Below are 15,712 nucleotides of genomic sequence, written 5' to 3'. Positions count from 1 at the left end.
TTCCTCTGCTTTTTATTTTCTAGCCAAGATTGGAAAATATGACTTTCCCTGTGGGTCACATCAACTCACCCAGGAGAGACGTGCTCCACAGCACCACTCTGCACTTCCAATCCATTCCACTCCTAACTGTGCTCCTGCCAGCTCTGTGTGGGGTGTGTGGAGCCCTATGGGAGTACATTTCCTGACATGGGAGTAAATTTCCCCTGATGAGCTCAGAAATGCACCCTCAAAAGCAACTCTATCCTGAAATATTCTTATCAAGCCATTTCCTCCCAAGCCCTAAGGGCTCTGGCTGATGTAGCTAATTAATATTTTTGGCATTGCAGTGAAGCAACAGAATAGTTTTCTTCAAGGAGAAAAAAAAGTAAAATAAAAACATTAGGACATAGCTTCATTTTTCTAAGTCAATTGCAATGTTAGTAGAAGAAGCATAAAAACACTAGATGTCAATACACTGAAAGTTAGTGTGTTATAGACAATAAAACTGACCTTCCAGACCTCTCTCTGTGGTCAGGGAACATGGTGCCTTCTCTCTCTCCCCTGCAACACTTAGCATAGAGCCCTGAACATAGGAGGTACTCAGTAGATTCTTATTGCATGAATCATTGAGTCAAACTCTATGTTTGAATGAGACCATGTGAAGCCATCCTTGGTTCTAAGTTGAGCTTATTATCTTTTTTAAAAGAAACCCTTAATTATTGTGTCCTTCACTCAAAGAGGTACTCTTTACCACTTGCATCTGCTGTTATTTGGAGCCAAACTCACATGAGGGAAATCAATGGGGTATACCGTAGCACTGGTAATGTTCCAGGTCTTGCACTGGGTGGCAGGCTTATGAGTTTATGATATTCAATTTGTTATTATGTTTCATAGGTTATGAGCACATATCAAAAATATTTTTGTATGTTTTAATATGCCACATATAATACATTCAAATTTATAGACAAGTGTTTTTCAGTTGTGGGAGAGTGGGGCTGTCAGGAGGTACTTAAATTCTGCAAAGGACTGTATCATGTTTGAGAAGACAGAAAGATAGTATGGTGAGATTTTGTTATAAAATTTGACTGCTAAGCAAGCATATTAAAAATAATTTCAGGCCGGGCACGGTGGCTCACCCCTGTAATCCCAGCACTTTGGGAGGCCAAGGTAGGCAAATCACGAGGTCAGAAGTTCGAGACCAGCCTGGCCAATATGGTGAAACCCCATCTCTACTGAAAATACAAAAATTAGCCAGGCTGGGTGGCATGCACCTGTAGTCCCAGGTACTTGGGAGGCTGAGGCAGAAGAATCGCTTGAACCCAGGAGGCAGAGTTTGCAGTGAGCCGAGATCGTGCCACTGCACTCCAGCCTGGGTGACAGAACAAGACTTTGTCTCAATAATAATAGTAATAATAATTTCAGGGTAACCACTAAAAGAACAGAAGTATACCTATATTAGAGAAAAGAAAATGTAACTTCAAAAACATTCCCAACTTGATAATAAGCAGAAACAAGAAACAATAAAAAAGGAAAAGATTAATAAATAGAAAATACAAAATAAAACTATATCAGTATTCACACTCAATGTAATCAGATTTAACTCACCTATTAAAAGACAAAGATTATAGAAACAGATTTTATTTCCCATATTTTTATTGAAAAAAAAACCCCAATATGCTGCTTAAAAGAGGCTACTCAAAATAAAGTTATAAAGTATCTGCAATCTTTTGTTTCTGAAAGAAAAAAACAGAAAAAGATAACTAGGAAAATGTTAAAGAAAGGCAGCTGGCCTGGCAATATTACCAACAAATAAAACAGAATATAAGGGAAAAGGTTAAAGTAGGACACTACGTAATGATAAAAGGGACAGTCATCAAGAATATACAATAATCAAGAACTTGGATACACCTAACAACACAGACTCAAAATACCAGCAAGTATTAACACATATTGATGATTTCAACAAATCCACTGTAATTAGAAACTGATAGATCACATAGTCACAAAATTTAAGTCAAAAATTAATAGAGATGGTTTGAATAGCACGATTAATGAAATTGAAGTAATTCATGTAAATAGGACCCTCTGTCCAACAAATAGAGAATACATCTTTTTATCACTTTTTGTGGAGTATTAATCTAAAAACTGACTACATACCTGGCCACCAAACAAGCTGCAACAAATATAAAAAAAATCAGTAGCAAAGGCCTCAAAGCAATTCAATGGGGAAGAATAGTCTTTGTAATAAGTGGAGCTGGAAACAATCAGACATTAATATGGTGGGGTGGGGGGATCAGCCTTGACACCCATATCACACTGCACACAAAAACTAACTTGAGGTAGATTACAGATCTAAAATTAAAAGTTAAAACAATAAAGTCTCTAGAAGAAAACAACAAATTATCTTCTTGACCTGGGAGTAAAGATTTTTAAAGCACAGAAAGCAATAACCATTTTTAAAAAGTGAAAGATTTCTTCAAAATGAAAAATTATTGTTCAAAAGCCAGAGTTATGAAAATGAATAAAAGAGCCACGGATTGAGAGAAAATGTTCTCAGAATCTGACAAAGGAGTCATAACAAGAATATATAAAGAACTCATACAACTCAATAACTTTTAAAAATTAACCCAATTAAAAAATGAGGAGAAGACTTGACCAAACGCTTCACAAAAGAAAATAGAGGAATGGCCAATAAACAAATAAAAAAGTGCTCATCATTAGTCATGGAGAAATGCAAATTTAAATCATGATAATACTACTCATCCACCAGAATAGCTAAAATTTAAAAGACTCACAACATCAAATATTATCAAGGATTTAGAGTAACCAGAAATCTCATATTGCTGGTAAGAGTGTAAAATTGTACTTTGAGGAAAGGTCTAGAAGTATCTTAAAAAGCTAAACACACCATTGTTCTGGAGGTTTTAGCTAGGGCAATTCGGCAAGAGAAGAAAAAAAAGCATCTAGACTGGGCCATGATCTTGTACATAGAAAATCCTAAGGAATTTAATCCTATAATACATAATGCTTAGGATTATAGGAATTTCTATATTCACAAAAAACTAATACATGAGTTCAGCAAGCTTGCAGGATACAAGATCCTGCAAAATAGAAAGATATTTCATGGTCATAGACTGGAAAACAAAATTGTTAACATAGTAATACTCCTGAAATTGGTCTATAGATTCATTGCAATCCCTATCAAAATCCCAGCTAGCTCCCCGAAGCCCCCACAGAAATTGACAAAATGGTCCTAAAATTCATACAAAGATGCAAGGGACACAGAAAGCCAAAATAATCTTGAAAAATGAGACTAAGTTGGAGGACTTACACTTCACAACTTCAAAACTTACTACAAAATTACACTAATCGAGACAGTGTGGTACTGGATAAGGACAGACATATAAATCAATGGAATAGAACTGAGAGTCCAAAAGTAAATCCTCACATTTATGACTGATTTTCGACAAAGATGCCAAGACAATTCAATGGAGAAGAGTATTTTTTAACAAATGCTGCTAAGACAACTAGATAAAAATAAAGCCCCTACCTCACACCATAAACAAAAATTAACCCAAAATGGATCATAGAGCTAAATGTAAGATCTAAAACTATAAAACTCTTAGAAGAAAACAAAGAAGTAAATGTTTACAACCTTAGATTAGGCAATGAATTCTTAGATATGACACCAACTGATGAATGAAGAACGATGTGTATAGCACAACACCTTTCAAAGAGAGCTAAAAAGTATTCAAAACAAGTGTACATATTATGAATGGACACATACATACGAAGAGTGAGTATACAAATATGTATCATAGTGGTTGCTTTCAGAGAGGAAAGAAAGGGGTAGCAAAGGGATAAATAAAGGGCTTAAACAGTATCCACAATCTTTTGTTTCTGAGAAAACTCTGAAACAAATAAGACATATCATTAATATTTGATAGAAGTGGGTGTTGGTACACACATGCACCTTTATGAATATTTGAAATATTTTAACATTTGACAACTTACATTTTTAAAAGAATGAGACATCCTTATGAGCATTAATTGCCAGTGTAGCATAGGACAAAAATGAAGGTAAATGAAATTGATCTAAAACCACACTAATCCCAAAAAGTATTCTGGAAATTGCTTTGGGAATAAGTCCTTGATATCAATGCCTTTATTTGTTATTGCCTTTATTCAAAATTGGAGTACAAAGGGCATGGCTCAGAATGATTACTGAAATTTTCCATTTGTTTGTATTCTATACAAATAGTTGTGGCTGGTGTTTATTTTTCTCTCTCTCTCTGTTCCTAAATTTGTTTTCATCAAATTTTCCCAAGCTAATCTCTTCCTTTTTTTTTTTCCTTTCCTAGATTTGCATTTCTTTTTCCAAGCAACTATAAAACACTATTTTCTTTTTCCATTTGCTCATAAATCAAATAGCACATTTCCTTGCTTGGTTTTTCACTTTCATCTATATGTTGGTTGACTTGTTTACATCTTTTCTGCATCTTTACTTGTCCCAAGTACAGGGCAAGATTCCAGGTGCTAATAAGCTACAGTTTTTACAAGGAAGAAGTTAACTTATTTAGGCCTAACAGGATGGCTTATATGCAGATAAGGATTTAGAAATTATTTAAAAGGGTACAAACTCCCTCTTCATACATGTTTCTCTTAAGGGGGCACGGGAACCTGGAAGGGCTGCAAGGAGGACATAGTTGCTGCCATTATTAGAGTGAAGTCAGTCCTACAGGTGGTTGGGCCTTGTATCCTTGGACACAAGTTCCTGCTGTGTTACAGAGCCCAGTAGGCTGCTTGGCTTAAGTCACATAGAAGATGTAGGGGAGCATTTTATCATCTTCTATTCCCACACAACAGCAACTGCTATCATTAATGGTAACTGCCAGAGAAAGTTCTAGGCATCCTATGCTATCTCATTTAACTTACAATTTCCCGAGGCATAATCATCTCCATTTTGCAGACAGGACACTGGGTCAGAGGAGTGAAGCAATATATGCAAGGTCACACAGCTGATTAAAGGCAGAGCCAAGATTCCCACCCAGTTGTGACTCATGGCAAAGCCCAGCCCTTCACCATTTCATTGCTTCTTCCCTTTCTGGCTACAGTAGGATGTGGAGCAGACTAGTTTTGGGGTGGAAGAGCTGTTCTTTCTCACAATCCACCATGCAATCTGTCCATCATATTTATACTCAAAATGGGGAAATGTTTAGGTCTTCAAGAAAACAATTTGAGCCAGGCCGGGCACAGTGGTTCACGCCTGTAATCCCAGCACTCTGGGAGGCCGAGGCAGGCAGGTCACCTGAGGTCAGGAGTTTGAGACCAGTCTGGCCAACATGGTGAAACCCCATCACTATTAAAAATACAAAAATTAGCCAGGCATGGTGGCGCACACCTGTAATCCCAGCTACTTGGGTAGCTGAGGTGGGAGAATCGCTTGAACCCAGGAGGCAGAGGTTGCAGTGAGCCGAGACTGAGCCTCTACACTCCAGCCTGGGCAACAGAAGGAGGCTCCATCTCAAAAAAAAAAAAAAAAGAAAAAAAAAAGAAAATAATCTGAGTCACAGGGCTGAGTAAAGGAGGCGTACCTGAATAGGGTCCTGCGTCAGTCTCATGGGCCCGATGCGCACCTCCGCAGAAGACACCTGCTAAATAAAGGACAGCACAAGAGAAGCGTCAAGTCTTAAACTACACAAATGGATACATCCTTCCTTACGCAACGCATTGCATTATGCCACCGTGTGCACTAAATTGAAGAATCCAGCTTACTGAACTGGAGATGGGTTACCAAGCATGATGTATATGTATAGCACAGTCCTGTTTTTGTATTAAAAAAAAAGTATCCATTTATATGCATTGGAAATGTCTTTAAGGATACATCCCCAAATGCTAAGTGGTTGGACTTTGAGTCATTTTTACTAGAAGTGTCTGGATTTTTATAATAAGCATGTACTATTTTATGGAAGAAAAGAATTCAATTCAATAATTATTTATTGAGCACCTACTATGTGCTGGGCATCATGCTGAGGCCATTATTATTCTGAAATTTCAAAAGAGAATAAACATTTCTCTCAAATCTTGAGGCTAAATCACATGTATGGTTTAAGAGCCTTTCCTATATTTAGATCTTGGTTTTCTTATCTTCATGTTTTACTATGAGGGTCAAACAGCTTAGTCTTACTCACATTTACCATGGATAAATTATTCATCTTAGTTGTAGTTCCACAAATAAACTGAGCAACACCACACCATGATGACCACGAGAGGCTTGTCTCTGCCCCACAACTCCAGGAGTGAGCATAGGGCTCTTCAGTGTTCACTGGCCAACACCATCTGGCTGCCTTTGGCAAGCAGTTAGATGGTAGCAAGCATAAAGCAAATATTTGTCTTTATTTTTAATTACTTTACTGAGATTTCTAAAAGTGACTATTCTCTAGACTAATTTGGTTGACGGTCTTGACCTCACCTCCATGGATCCAATTTTGTTTTTCTCTAAGAGACTGTGGTCATTTGTCACTATTGGAAGCTTATCCTGCATTCCACACTCTGTACTGGCCCCTTGTCAGTCTGAAGGAGCGCCTTCAGCACGCAGCAGCATTTACACAACCAGAGACACTTGCAGTGACCCAAGGGCCATGGGAGCCTTTTCAGTTACAAAAAACAAACAAGAAAAGCAAACTTTCTTTACATTATACTTTGCAAGACCATAATAATTTCCCTTTCTCCTTTCTTCTCCTTTCCCCAAGCTTAACTCTTAGTGCTGGTGCTATGAACACTCTCCAAAGCACCAGTCTTCTTCTCCTCTGTAGGCCTGATTCTCCTACCCCACCCCAACACAGCAGTGTAAAGAACTCATGCAGGGCGCTTGGGCCTCTCACCAAACCAGCCAGCAGAAAACTCAAAGAGCCCTCTAATGACTGCTCATCTGAGGTTCCTGGCCCTCTGTGGGGGGTTCTCAGGAGGGCAAGGATGCCTGTTCTGCTCCTCTTGGGGAGGCAGCCTCCTCAACCATGGGTCCACTCAGCAGGCCTGGCACAATGAAAACCAACTGGAGGCTTTGAGTCCCTGAGCCTGTGAACAAGTTCCTTCAGTGTTTCACTGCTGTGTTCAGGTCAAAGTGACAGGCTCATGTTGAGTGTGGACTTCTCTTACTCTTCTTTTGTCTAAGTAAGTCAGTATCCTGCAAGGTGTGGGTGCTGACACCAGTAGCCTAGGGGCACAGCCCCAAGAGCAACTCTACTGGGAGAGGACCAGCACCAGAACCTGCTGCGTCACTGGGCTGCCAGCCCTTCACCCAGCTCCACTCCCAAGCCAGTTTTTGTTATTGAAATAGACACCCTCTTTCCAAAGCAGTGCAACTGCCAGAACGCTGATTAAAAAGTTAATGATTGGGCCAGATGCGGTGGCTCTCGCCTGTAATCCCAGCACTTTGGGAGGCCGAGGTGGGCAGATCACCTGAAGTCAGGAGTTCAAAACCAGCCTAGCCAACATGGTGAAACCCCATCTCTACTAAAAATACAAAAAATTAGCTGGGCATGGTGGCGGGCGCCTGTAATCCCAGCTGCTTGGGAGGCTGAGGCAGGAGAATCGCTTGAACCTGGGAGGCAGAGGTTGCAGTAAGCCGAAACCGTGCCATTGCGCTCCAGCCTGGGCAACAAGAGCAAAACTCCATCTCAAAAAAAAAAAAAAAAAAAAAAAGATTAATGATTAAAAAGGGAAACCAGTTGGGCATGGTGGCTCATGCCTGTAATCCCAGCATTTTCGGAGGCCGAGGCAGGTGGATCACTTGAGGCCAGGAGTTTGAGACCAGCCTGGCCAACATGGTGAAACCCCATTTCTACTCAAAATACAAAAATTAGCCAGGCATGGTGTTGGGCGCCTGTAATCCCAGATACTTGGGAGGCTGAGGCAGGAGAATGGCTTGAACTCGGGAGGTGGAGGCTGCAGTGAGCCAAGATCACACCACTACACTTCAGCCTGGGCAGCAGAGTGAGACTCTGAAAAAAAAAAAGTGAAACCAATTTAGTATATACTAAGATAAATTTGATAAGCCAGGGTACCTTTTCGCTTGCCCTGTGATCTCTCTTGAGTTCACTGCCTCCACCACACACAAAAGCCCCCTCCAACAAGACCACCTGTGAATGATTTCTCCAGCAAAATTAGGCTCCTAAAAGAGTCACTCAGTGGCAGAAAATAAAGCAATGAATGAAATCATAAATAGAAGCTTAAAAGGAATAAAATAAAAAGTGACTCGCATTGGAAGGCCAAGAGATAGGGAAGGATTCCTGCAAGAAGGGCACAGGCTGTCCAAAAAATAATAATTCACCCCTAACCAATACCTTGCCTGTATACTTTTCTTTCTCTCTTTCTTTCTCTCTCTTTCCTCTCCTTCCCCTCCCCACCCCTCCCTCCCCTCCCTCCCTCCCTTCCTTCCTTTCTTTCTTTTTCTTTCTTTCTTTCTTTCTGACAGAGTTTCACTCTGTCGCCCAGGCTGGAGTGCAGTGGTGCCTTCTTGGCTCACTACAACCTCCATCTCCTGGGTTCAAGTGATTTTCCTGCCTCAGCCTCCCAAGTGGCTGGGATTACAGGCACCCACCACCACTTACAGCTAATTTTTGTATTTTTAGTAGAGATGGGGTTTCGCCATGTTGGCCAGGGTGGTTTCAAACTCCTGACCTCGGGTGATCTGCCCGCCTCGGCCTCCTAAAGTGCTGGGATTACAGGCATGAGCCATTGTGCCCAGTTGCCTGTATACTTTTCCAAATAATCAATATGTGCATGAAGTGTTGATACAGCTAACCTTACATGGTGGGCTGGCGGGGAAGGGCAGGCGACTTTTGACTCTACCAGGAGAATATCTGATGACTGTGAACATTCCTTAAGTCCCTCTGACCCAGGCATTGTGCCAGGCGCATTCACACCTGTAATCCTAGGGGCAGACAGGCAATGGCCACTGTGTCACAGCATGGAGTTTTAAAAGCAACTTTCAAGCTAGAAGATATATCATTTTTCTTCCTAAAGGCAGGAAAGACCCTACGACTTTCTCTCATAGCCACAACAGTTCTCTGCCTGCCATCCAGTATTCTAACTCCTGTCTGACCTACCCAGCAGGAAGGCATGCTGTGAGCTCGTGGGAGGACAGCAGAGCCCGGAAGTGGGGCTGTAAAGTTGCTGCTAAGGGACATTCTCCAAACCCCTGCCTCTCGTATCTCTACCATCCTTTGCATCCTTTGCCTCTCTCCTCCCAGCCTCACTTCACTGTGCTCCCTCCCACGTGTTGTCACTCTACCTGCACTACCGGCGTGGGTGCCTCAGTTTACCAGCTCCTCTAGTCCTGACCCACACTTTGCTTTGTGTCTCTTGGCCTGCCTTTTCCTTCTTGGTCTGTGCTCCAAGTCATCTGGCCTTGGCTTCTGTGTCCAAAAGAGGTCAACTGTCCCAAAAGAACACTGGAACTTGTTCTTGCTGACTCTGAGGGCTGGCACTAGGTAGTGACCAGCAGGAAAAAACCTGTAGCAGGTGTATTCACAGACGGCAGTTTGCAGAGTTCTGCTTCTGACACAGGCGTCTAACTGCCTGCATTTCACCAATTTATAAAACAGCAACTATGAACAGAAACAGGAGATAATTTACTGACATCTGTGTAGCCAGGCCAAGATTCTCTACTTCAAAGAATGAACTTTGAGCAACTGCAGATGCACAGACTCTTCAATTAGTGTATTAGCTCTGATTCCAGGAAGTGGCCAAGTTTGCCAGGGTCAGAGAAACAAATGCAGGGGTGGGGGCATAGGTAACATAATTCCAACACCTGAGAAGAGGGGAGGGTGGGACCAGAGTGTGAAGAGAGACACACTTCCTAGCCACATGTGTTTCCACAGTAGCCTAATGAGGAAGGACTGCTGAACTACAGCGTAGTTTTAACTGTGCTGTATAACATTCGTAGTGTGTCAAATATTTGTGTGTACATGTGTGAATGGTAACATACACACATATATACATGGAAGCAGGGTCACCAATCCACTTTCACATGAAAAAAAAAACACAAGTACTATTTTGTAGCATTTGTTGACTTCCGTGGTATAAATACCATTGTTGATCTCAAGCTGGCAACATGGGTCCATGACTGCAAAATTAGGAATACATCATTTCATTCAGAGAAGGTCTATGGCAAAGTCACTCAGTCTTTGTTGATCTGTAAACGTCTATCACTCACTTTTGCTTGAAGTTTGGCTGAATATAGAATTCTGGTTGAGAGACATTTTCTCTCCCACTTTGAAGTTGAGAAAGAGGAGGTAATACTTCTGGTTTGGGAGGTGGGGAGATCAAGGAAGGCTTCATGAAGGCAGGCAGGTGGTGAAGAATAGGGGGACGAAGATACTGGGTTGGGGAAGGAGATTCTAGGCATAGGGAACAGCACAGGCACAGGCATGGAGGCAGGAAAGCGAAGGTGCTGGTGGGGAGAAAACAAGTGTCCAGAGAGCTGGATTGCAGTGTGAGAAAGGGTCGACTGGGAAGGCTGGGGTCAGATCCTCAGAGGACACAGGAAGGAGCTCTCTTTTTTAATCTCTAAGCACCAATCACATTGCAGGTGTTTGAGCAAAGGATTAACGTAATAAGATCTGTGACTTGGGAAAATCAAACATTGGCTTGCCCACTTTCTGAACAACCAAGAACAGAGATTTAGCAAAAACTAAACAAAAACACCACTATGAGTAGGAACTACAGCAATGAAAGCAAGTGGGAAAATACACTGCAATGATCAAGAAAAAAACTCAGCTTGGCTTCACTTCAATAGAAAGGGAACTCCACGATACAACCCAGCTGGTGCAGGGTAGGCAGATGGAAGAGGCAAACTCACGAGAGAAATCAAGGTAGTTCAGGTTGGTTAATTCACCTGTCACGCCACCACATTCTCTAGAGGTGATTGCTGCAGCTCTTAATAGTTTCAGCTTCAGGAATTTTGTTAAGTAACTTGGCATCGAGTTTTAGAGCCTTCCTCAGACAAGAGGGAAGCTAAGGATTCAGGAAGGAAAGCAGTTGACCTGGAAAGCCCTTTCCTGCCTCAGCAGCTAACGCATCCTTCAAGGGCCTGCTCCAACGCCCTTGCCCTCTGACAATGGTTCAAGTCCAACTTCACCCAAAGAAGAACCAGTGATTTCTCTCCTCAGTACTCCTGTATTCATAGCACTGATTTTGTTACTCATTTAAATATCTCACTCCTTGGCAAGACTGTGAGTTTCTTGAGGACATAGTCTCTGTCTTTTTCACAATTTTATCCCCAGCATCTACAAGATGCTCAGTAAATGCTTTGTGGAATTGAATTAAACTGAAAAGAACAGACAGCTTTTAAGTAACAGAGTGAAGATTGAGACTTCATTCTTCCTAACTCCCAGTGCACTGCTCTTCCATTATGCTCCAAAATTGGAAGCATTAATTCTGCAGCACTCATCTTTCTGGTATGGCTTCTGGACTCCATTCAGACTCTGCAAAACAGATGATGCAGTGCCTGGCGATCCCTGCTTGTGCCTGGTAGTCTGTTAACAGGGCTGGCCCAGCACCAAGAAGAAAAAGGGTATGCATGCGTGTGCATGTGCGTGTGTGTCCAGGTGGGGGTGGAATGTCTGAGTTCCAAAACTCAGAGTCTGAATCTTCCCCACTTCAATGACTTCTCCTTTAGAATCCCTTCCTTCCCACCATCTACAGTACTGAGTGTTCGCACACACACAGCTTAAGGCAAGCTTGACTTGCACTTTGTGACGGGTCCACGGTGAAGATCATTTCACACTGAAAAGACACCAGCTGTGGGCACAGAAATAGGCACTTTTAAATGCTCTTCATCAACTCTGTCTGCTGCCCTGTTGGCTCTGATTTAAAAATAGCATTTAATGATCTCAATATGTGCCCTGTCCACCCTCCATTCTCAGGCCAAACTTAGTTCTTTATTCGTCTGAGCTCTGGGTAAACAAAGGTTGTGTCTGCCTTTTGCCTTTTTAATGGGCCCCTGTCTGTCCTCTGGCTTCCAGTCAGAAAGGGACTGGCCCTGCAGCCTCTAGGTGATCCCACTGTGAGGCTGGGCCTCCCTGCTCTATGCTGGGAAACTCTGTCCCATCCCACCCTCTCTCCCCTGCCAACTGTGCTTAGCACACCCAGAACACTCTCTTCCTTCTGTCCCCTCTCAGTTGTGGGCCCTGCTGGCTGGCGCTGCCCTCACTCCAGCCTCCAGCCTTACCTGGCTGTGGTCTGGCTGCCCTCCAGCACCTCCTGGCAACTCTGATACCCTGGACCTTTCAGGGCCCAAGAGCTCACTGGGCAGCCCATGAGCTTCCCTTCTCCTTCCTGCTTCCAATCCTCTGGTCTAGAAGTTCTCAACCTGGGCTTCATATTAGAAGTACCTGGGGAACTTTAAAAATATATCAATGCCTGGGTCCTATTTGACACCAAGATAACTGGAATCTCTAAAATCTCTAAGAATGGGGCCCAAGTGTCTTCAACTTTTTATCTCCTTGGGTTTAGCCAGGGTTGAGAACCACTAGTCTATTCTTTTGAGCAGACTTGTCTGTTGCTAACTTCAATTCCTGCTTCTTTAATGGCCCCTCCTGCAGACTCTATTACATATCCATTTACTCAACAAACACCGGTGGAACACTTACCTCGTGGAAGGTAACAACACCCACCCAAGACTCAGCTATCATGCCTGGACCCAGACATTGACAGCTATCTGTGTTCATTTCCAGATACCTCCACTGGTTTTTTCCAGATAGCTCCACGAAAAACACAAGATTATAATGTTGGCATGAGGAAGATAAAGTCTTTTATATTTGGTGAATTATCCCCCCCAAACAATATCCCTACGTTACAATCAAAATCAATCAAAAATCTCTTTCATAGTTTTTCTGTTATATAATATAGATGGACGATTACTCATGGTTACAAGATACTCACAGCCAGTGACATATTTCATTACTTTTATGTTTTATGCCCTACTATTTAGAATAGTACATTAATTTGGCAGCATGATGTTTTATCACATAAACATACAAATGTCTACTCATCAAAATATACAACCATGAAATAAAAGATTAATCACTTTGACTTTAAAATTATAGCTTCTATTCACCAAAAACAAAACAAAAAAAAGCAAAGAGCACTGTAATAAAAGAGAAAAAGGCCCAGAGCTGGAGAGATGAAATCTAAAACATAAAAACCCAAAAATACTAGTAACCAGAACATAAAACAAAATTTTTTTAAACATCAGTAAGAAGACAGCCAAAAACAAAGCCGGGGAAATGATTTGAAAAAGAAATTTACAGGAGAGGAAATATAAGTATGAAGAGATGCTCATCATCATTAGTAATCAGGAAGATAAAAATTTTAAATTACAATGAGATACTATCTTACATCCAACTATTTTTATCAACAGAATGGCAGAATTAAGAGTCAAACATTATCTAGCATAGGCAAGAAAGTGGCCCCTCAGAAACTCTTATACATTGTTGGTGGGCATGTAAACTGGTTTAGCAACTTTGAAAAACAGTTTGGGGATATCTAGTGAAGACGAAGAAGTATATATCTGACAATTCAGCCTCCTATATGAGTGTATCTCTAGGGTGTATAGGAGGCATTTACAAGAATATTCAGAGCAGTATTGTTTGTAACAAAAATTTAGAAAACTGAATCCATAGTCTATTAATATCACCAGAAGAAACTGATATATGTATCAAGGACTAGCCATACAATAGAATATTATACAACAGTAAAAATGAAACAACTAGAGTTACTCATTTAAAACTTATGAATCTTACAAACATTGAGTTAAACAACAAAACAAAAAATTGCAAGTTTTAGAATGATGCATACCTTAGGATACCACTTGAAGTTTACAAATACTTAAAACAATACTGAATAGACTTTAGGAATATATTATAACAGTACAAAGAAATGCTGACAAACTCCCAATTGAGGCAAGTGGTCCTGCTGGTGGAGGGGACGATGAATTCAGGGAGAGAAGTGCCGGGGCTTCAACTATATTGTGAATGACCTATTTATTTATTTATTTATTTATTTATTTATTTTGAGATGGAGTCTTGCTCTGTTGCCCAGGCTAGAATGCAGTGGAGTGATCTCGGCTCACTGCAACCTCCACCTCCCAGGTTCAAGTGATTCTTTTGTCTCAGCCTCCCAAGTAGCTGGGATTACAGGCTAATTTTTTGTATTTTAGTAGGGAACACAAAAATTCTCTACGCCCTGCTAATTTTTTGTATTTTAGTAGAGACGGGGTTTCACCGTGTTGCCCAGGCTGGTCTTGAATTCCTGAGCTCAGGCAATCCATCCACCTTGGCCTCCCGAAGTGCTGGGATTACAGGCATGAGGCACCACACTCAGCGTATGACCTATTTTTTTAAGCAGTAAATAGTGAGTACATGGGTGTTTACTGAATTAAACTTTCTATCTTCTTGTATATGTAGATATTTCCAAATAAATGGAAATTAGGTTTAATTTTATTGGGAAAGTCTATTTCCTATTTTGGTGTTAACATTAATGGAGCATTAGCCACTACATAAATATTCTACACATGCTTTTTATTTTTCCAGTAAAGTCTTTATTTGGTAGAATAAGGTGTTGTATTTAAAATTCCTCAGAATATAGATGGGGTTTCTCTGAAACTTGGTAAAATAAAATTCTAGAAAATTGGGCTGGGACTCAGGGGACCTTGCTCAAGATGAGTAACTGCACTGTGCCTCAATAAGACAAAAGGGGCTGATGAATTCCCCACGTACATCATCTCACGTAAAGGTCACAGCAATCCCACAGGGCATCCTGGGCCCCTTTCTATGGCTTAAGAGGTTATGCTGCAGAAAGGTTAAGCCACTTACCCGAGAGGATGAAGCTGAGATTTAAGCCCAGGTCTGCCTCACTGGGAAGGCCATGCTCTTATTTGTGTATTTACTTATATCTCAGACTGTTCCAGAAAGGCCTTAAGATGGTGTACAAAGAGACTTTAAATGAGGTGAGGGTTTTTAAATGACTTATAAATAAGATGTGAAAGATCTGGCTGAGAAACAATGAGCATGGAAAGAGGAAGCAGGTAGGGAAGTCGGTGTGCACAACGTTTGGCACAAGGCACCCGCTCCCGCTGCAGTGGGCCACCCAGACAGTGAGGTCAGGCTGCAAAGAAGGAGGCAGTACCGTCAACCTCCCCCCATGCACTAGACACAGTGATGTGCTTTCCAGCACAGCATCTTACACTGCCCCCTACCCATGCCCTCTCCTTCCTTCCCCACTGTCACTGGTCTTTCTTAAGAAGTGCTACTACTAGACTCAGAGAGCTTTGCTGTGCCAGTGGAGGGGGGATGCTACATCCCACTGTGCCTGGAAAATATGGCAGTGAGAAAAGATAAAGAGGCCATCGTCTTGCTAACTCTGAAGTCGTAATGAGAAAAATAAACACAGAAGTCATGCAGATGCCATCAGATCTAAACACAGAAAACTTGGCTGGCACAGTATAATGGAGAAGCCATTTCCCCCTGACAAATATCAGATTAAAGAGAAATTATTTATACAACATAGTCATGTCATCTACAGTCATGAGAAAAAAACTCAGCCTGATGTCGATTATGCATTAAAATGGAAAGAAAAAAATGGTCTAGAATATAATCCACAAAATGACAAGTACCCAAAGGAGGCCAGCACAAGGAAGCCTTAGAGAGATTTAACTTCAGAGGAGGAA

General features: G+C 41.5%; 1 protein-coding gene across 27 annotated transcripts in view; it reads right to left on the bottom strand.

Annotated features, from left to right (window-relative positions):
• The window catches only part of PDE8B (phosphodiesterase 8B), a 341,542-nt gene that overhangs the window by 110,630 nt on the left and 215,200 nt on the right, over positions 1–15,712 (bottom strand). For 16 of the 27 annotated variants that reach the window (NM_001414622.1, NM_001414623.1, NM_001349750.3 and 13 more), the window contains one exon: positions 5,574–5,633. The exons of 3 other annotated variants lie outside the window; for them this stretch is intronic. In NM_001414622.1, the coding sequence (NP_001401551.1) occupies positions 5,574–5,600 (27 nt within the window). In that variant the 5' untranslated portion in view covers positions 5,601–5,633. The remainder of the gene's footprint in view (positions 1–5,573; positions 5,634–15,712) is intronic. 8 more of the 27 variants (NM_001376069.1, NM_001349752.3, NM_001376071.1 and 5 more) reach the window with 1 other exon arrangement.

This window comes from Homo sapiens, chromosome 5 (assembly GCF_000001405.40).
Source record: "Homo sapiens chromosome 5, GRCh38.p14 Primary Assembly".
NCBI lineage: Eukaryota > Metazoa > Chordata > Mammalia > Primates > Hominidae > Homo > Homo sapiens.
Note: the sequence above shows the minus strand (reverse complement) of the source record. Positions and strands in the feature narration are given on the sequence as shown.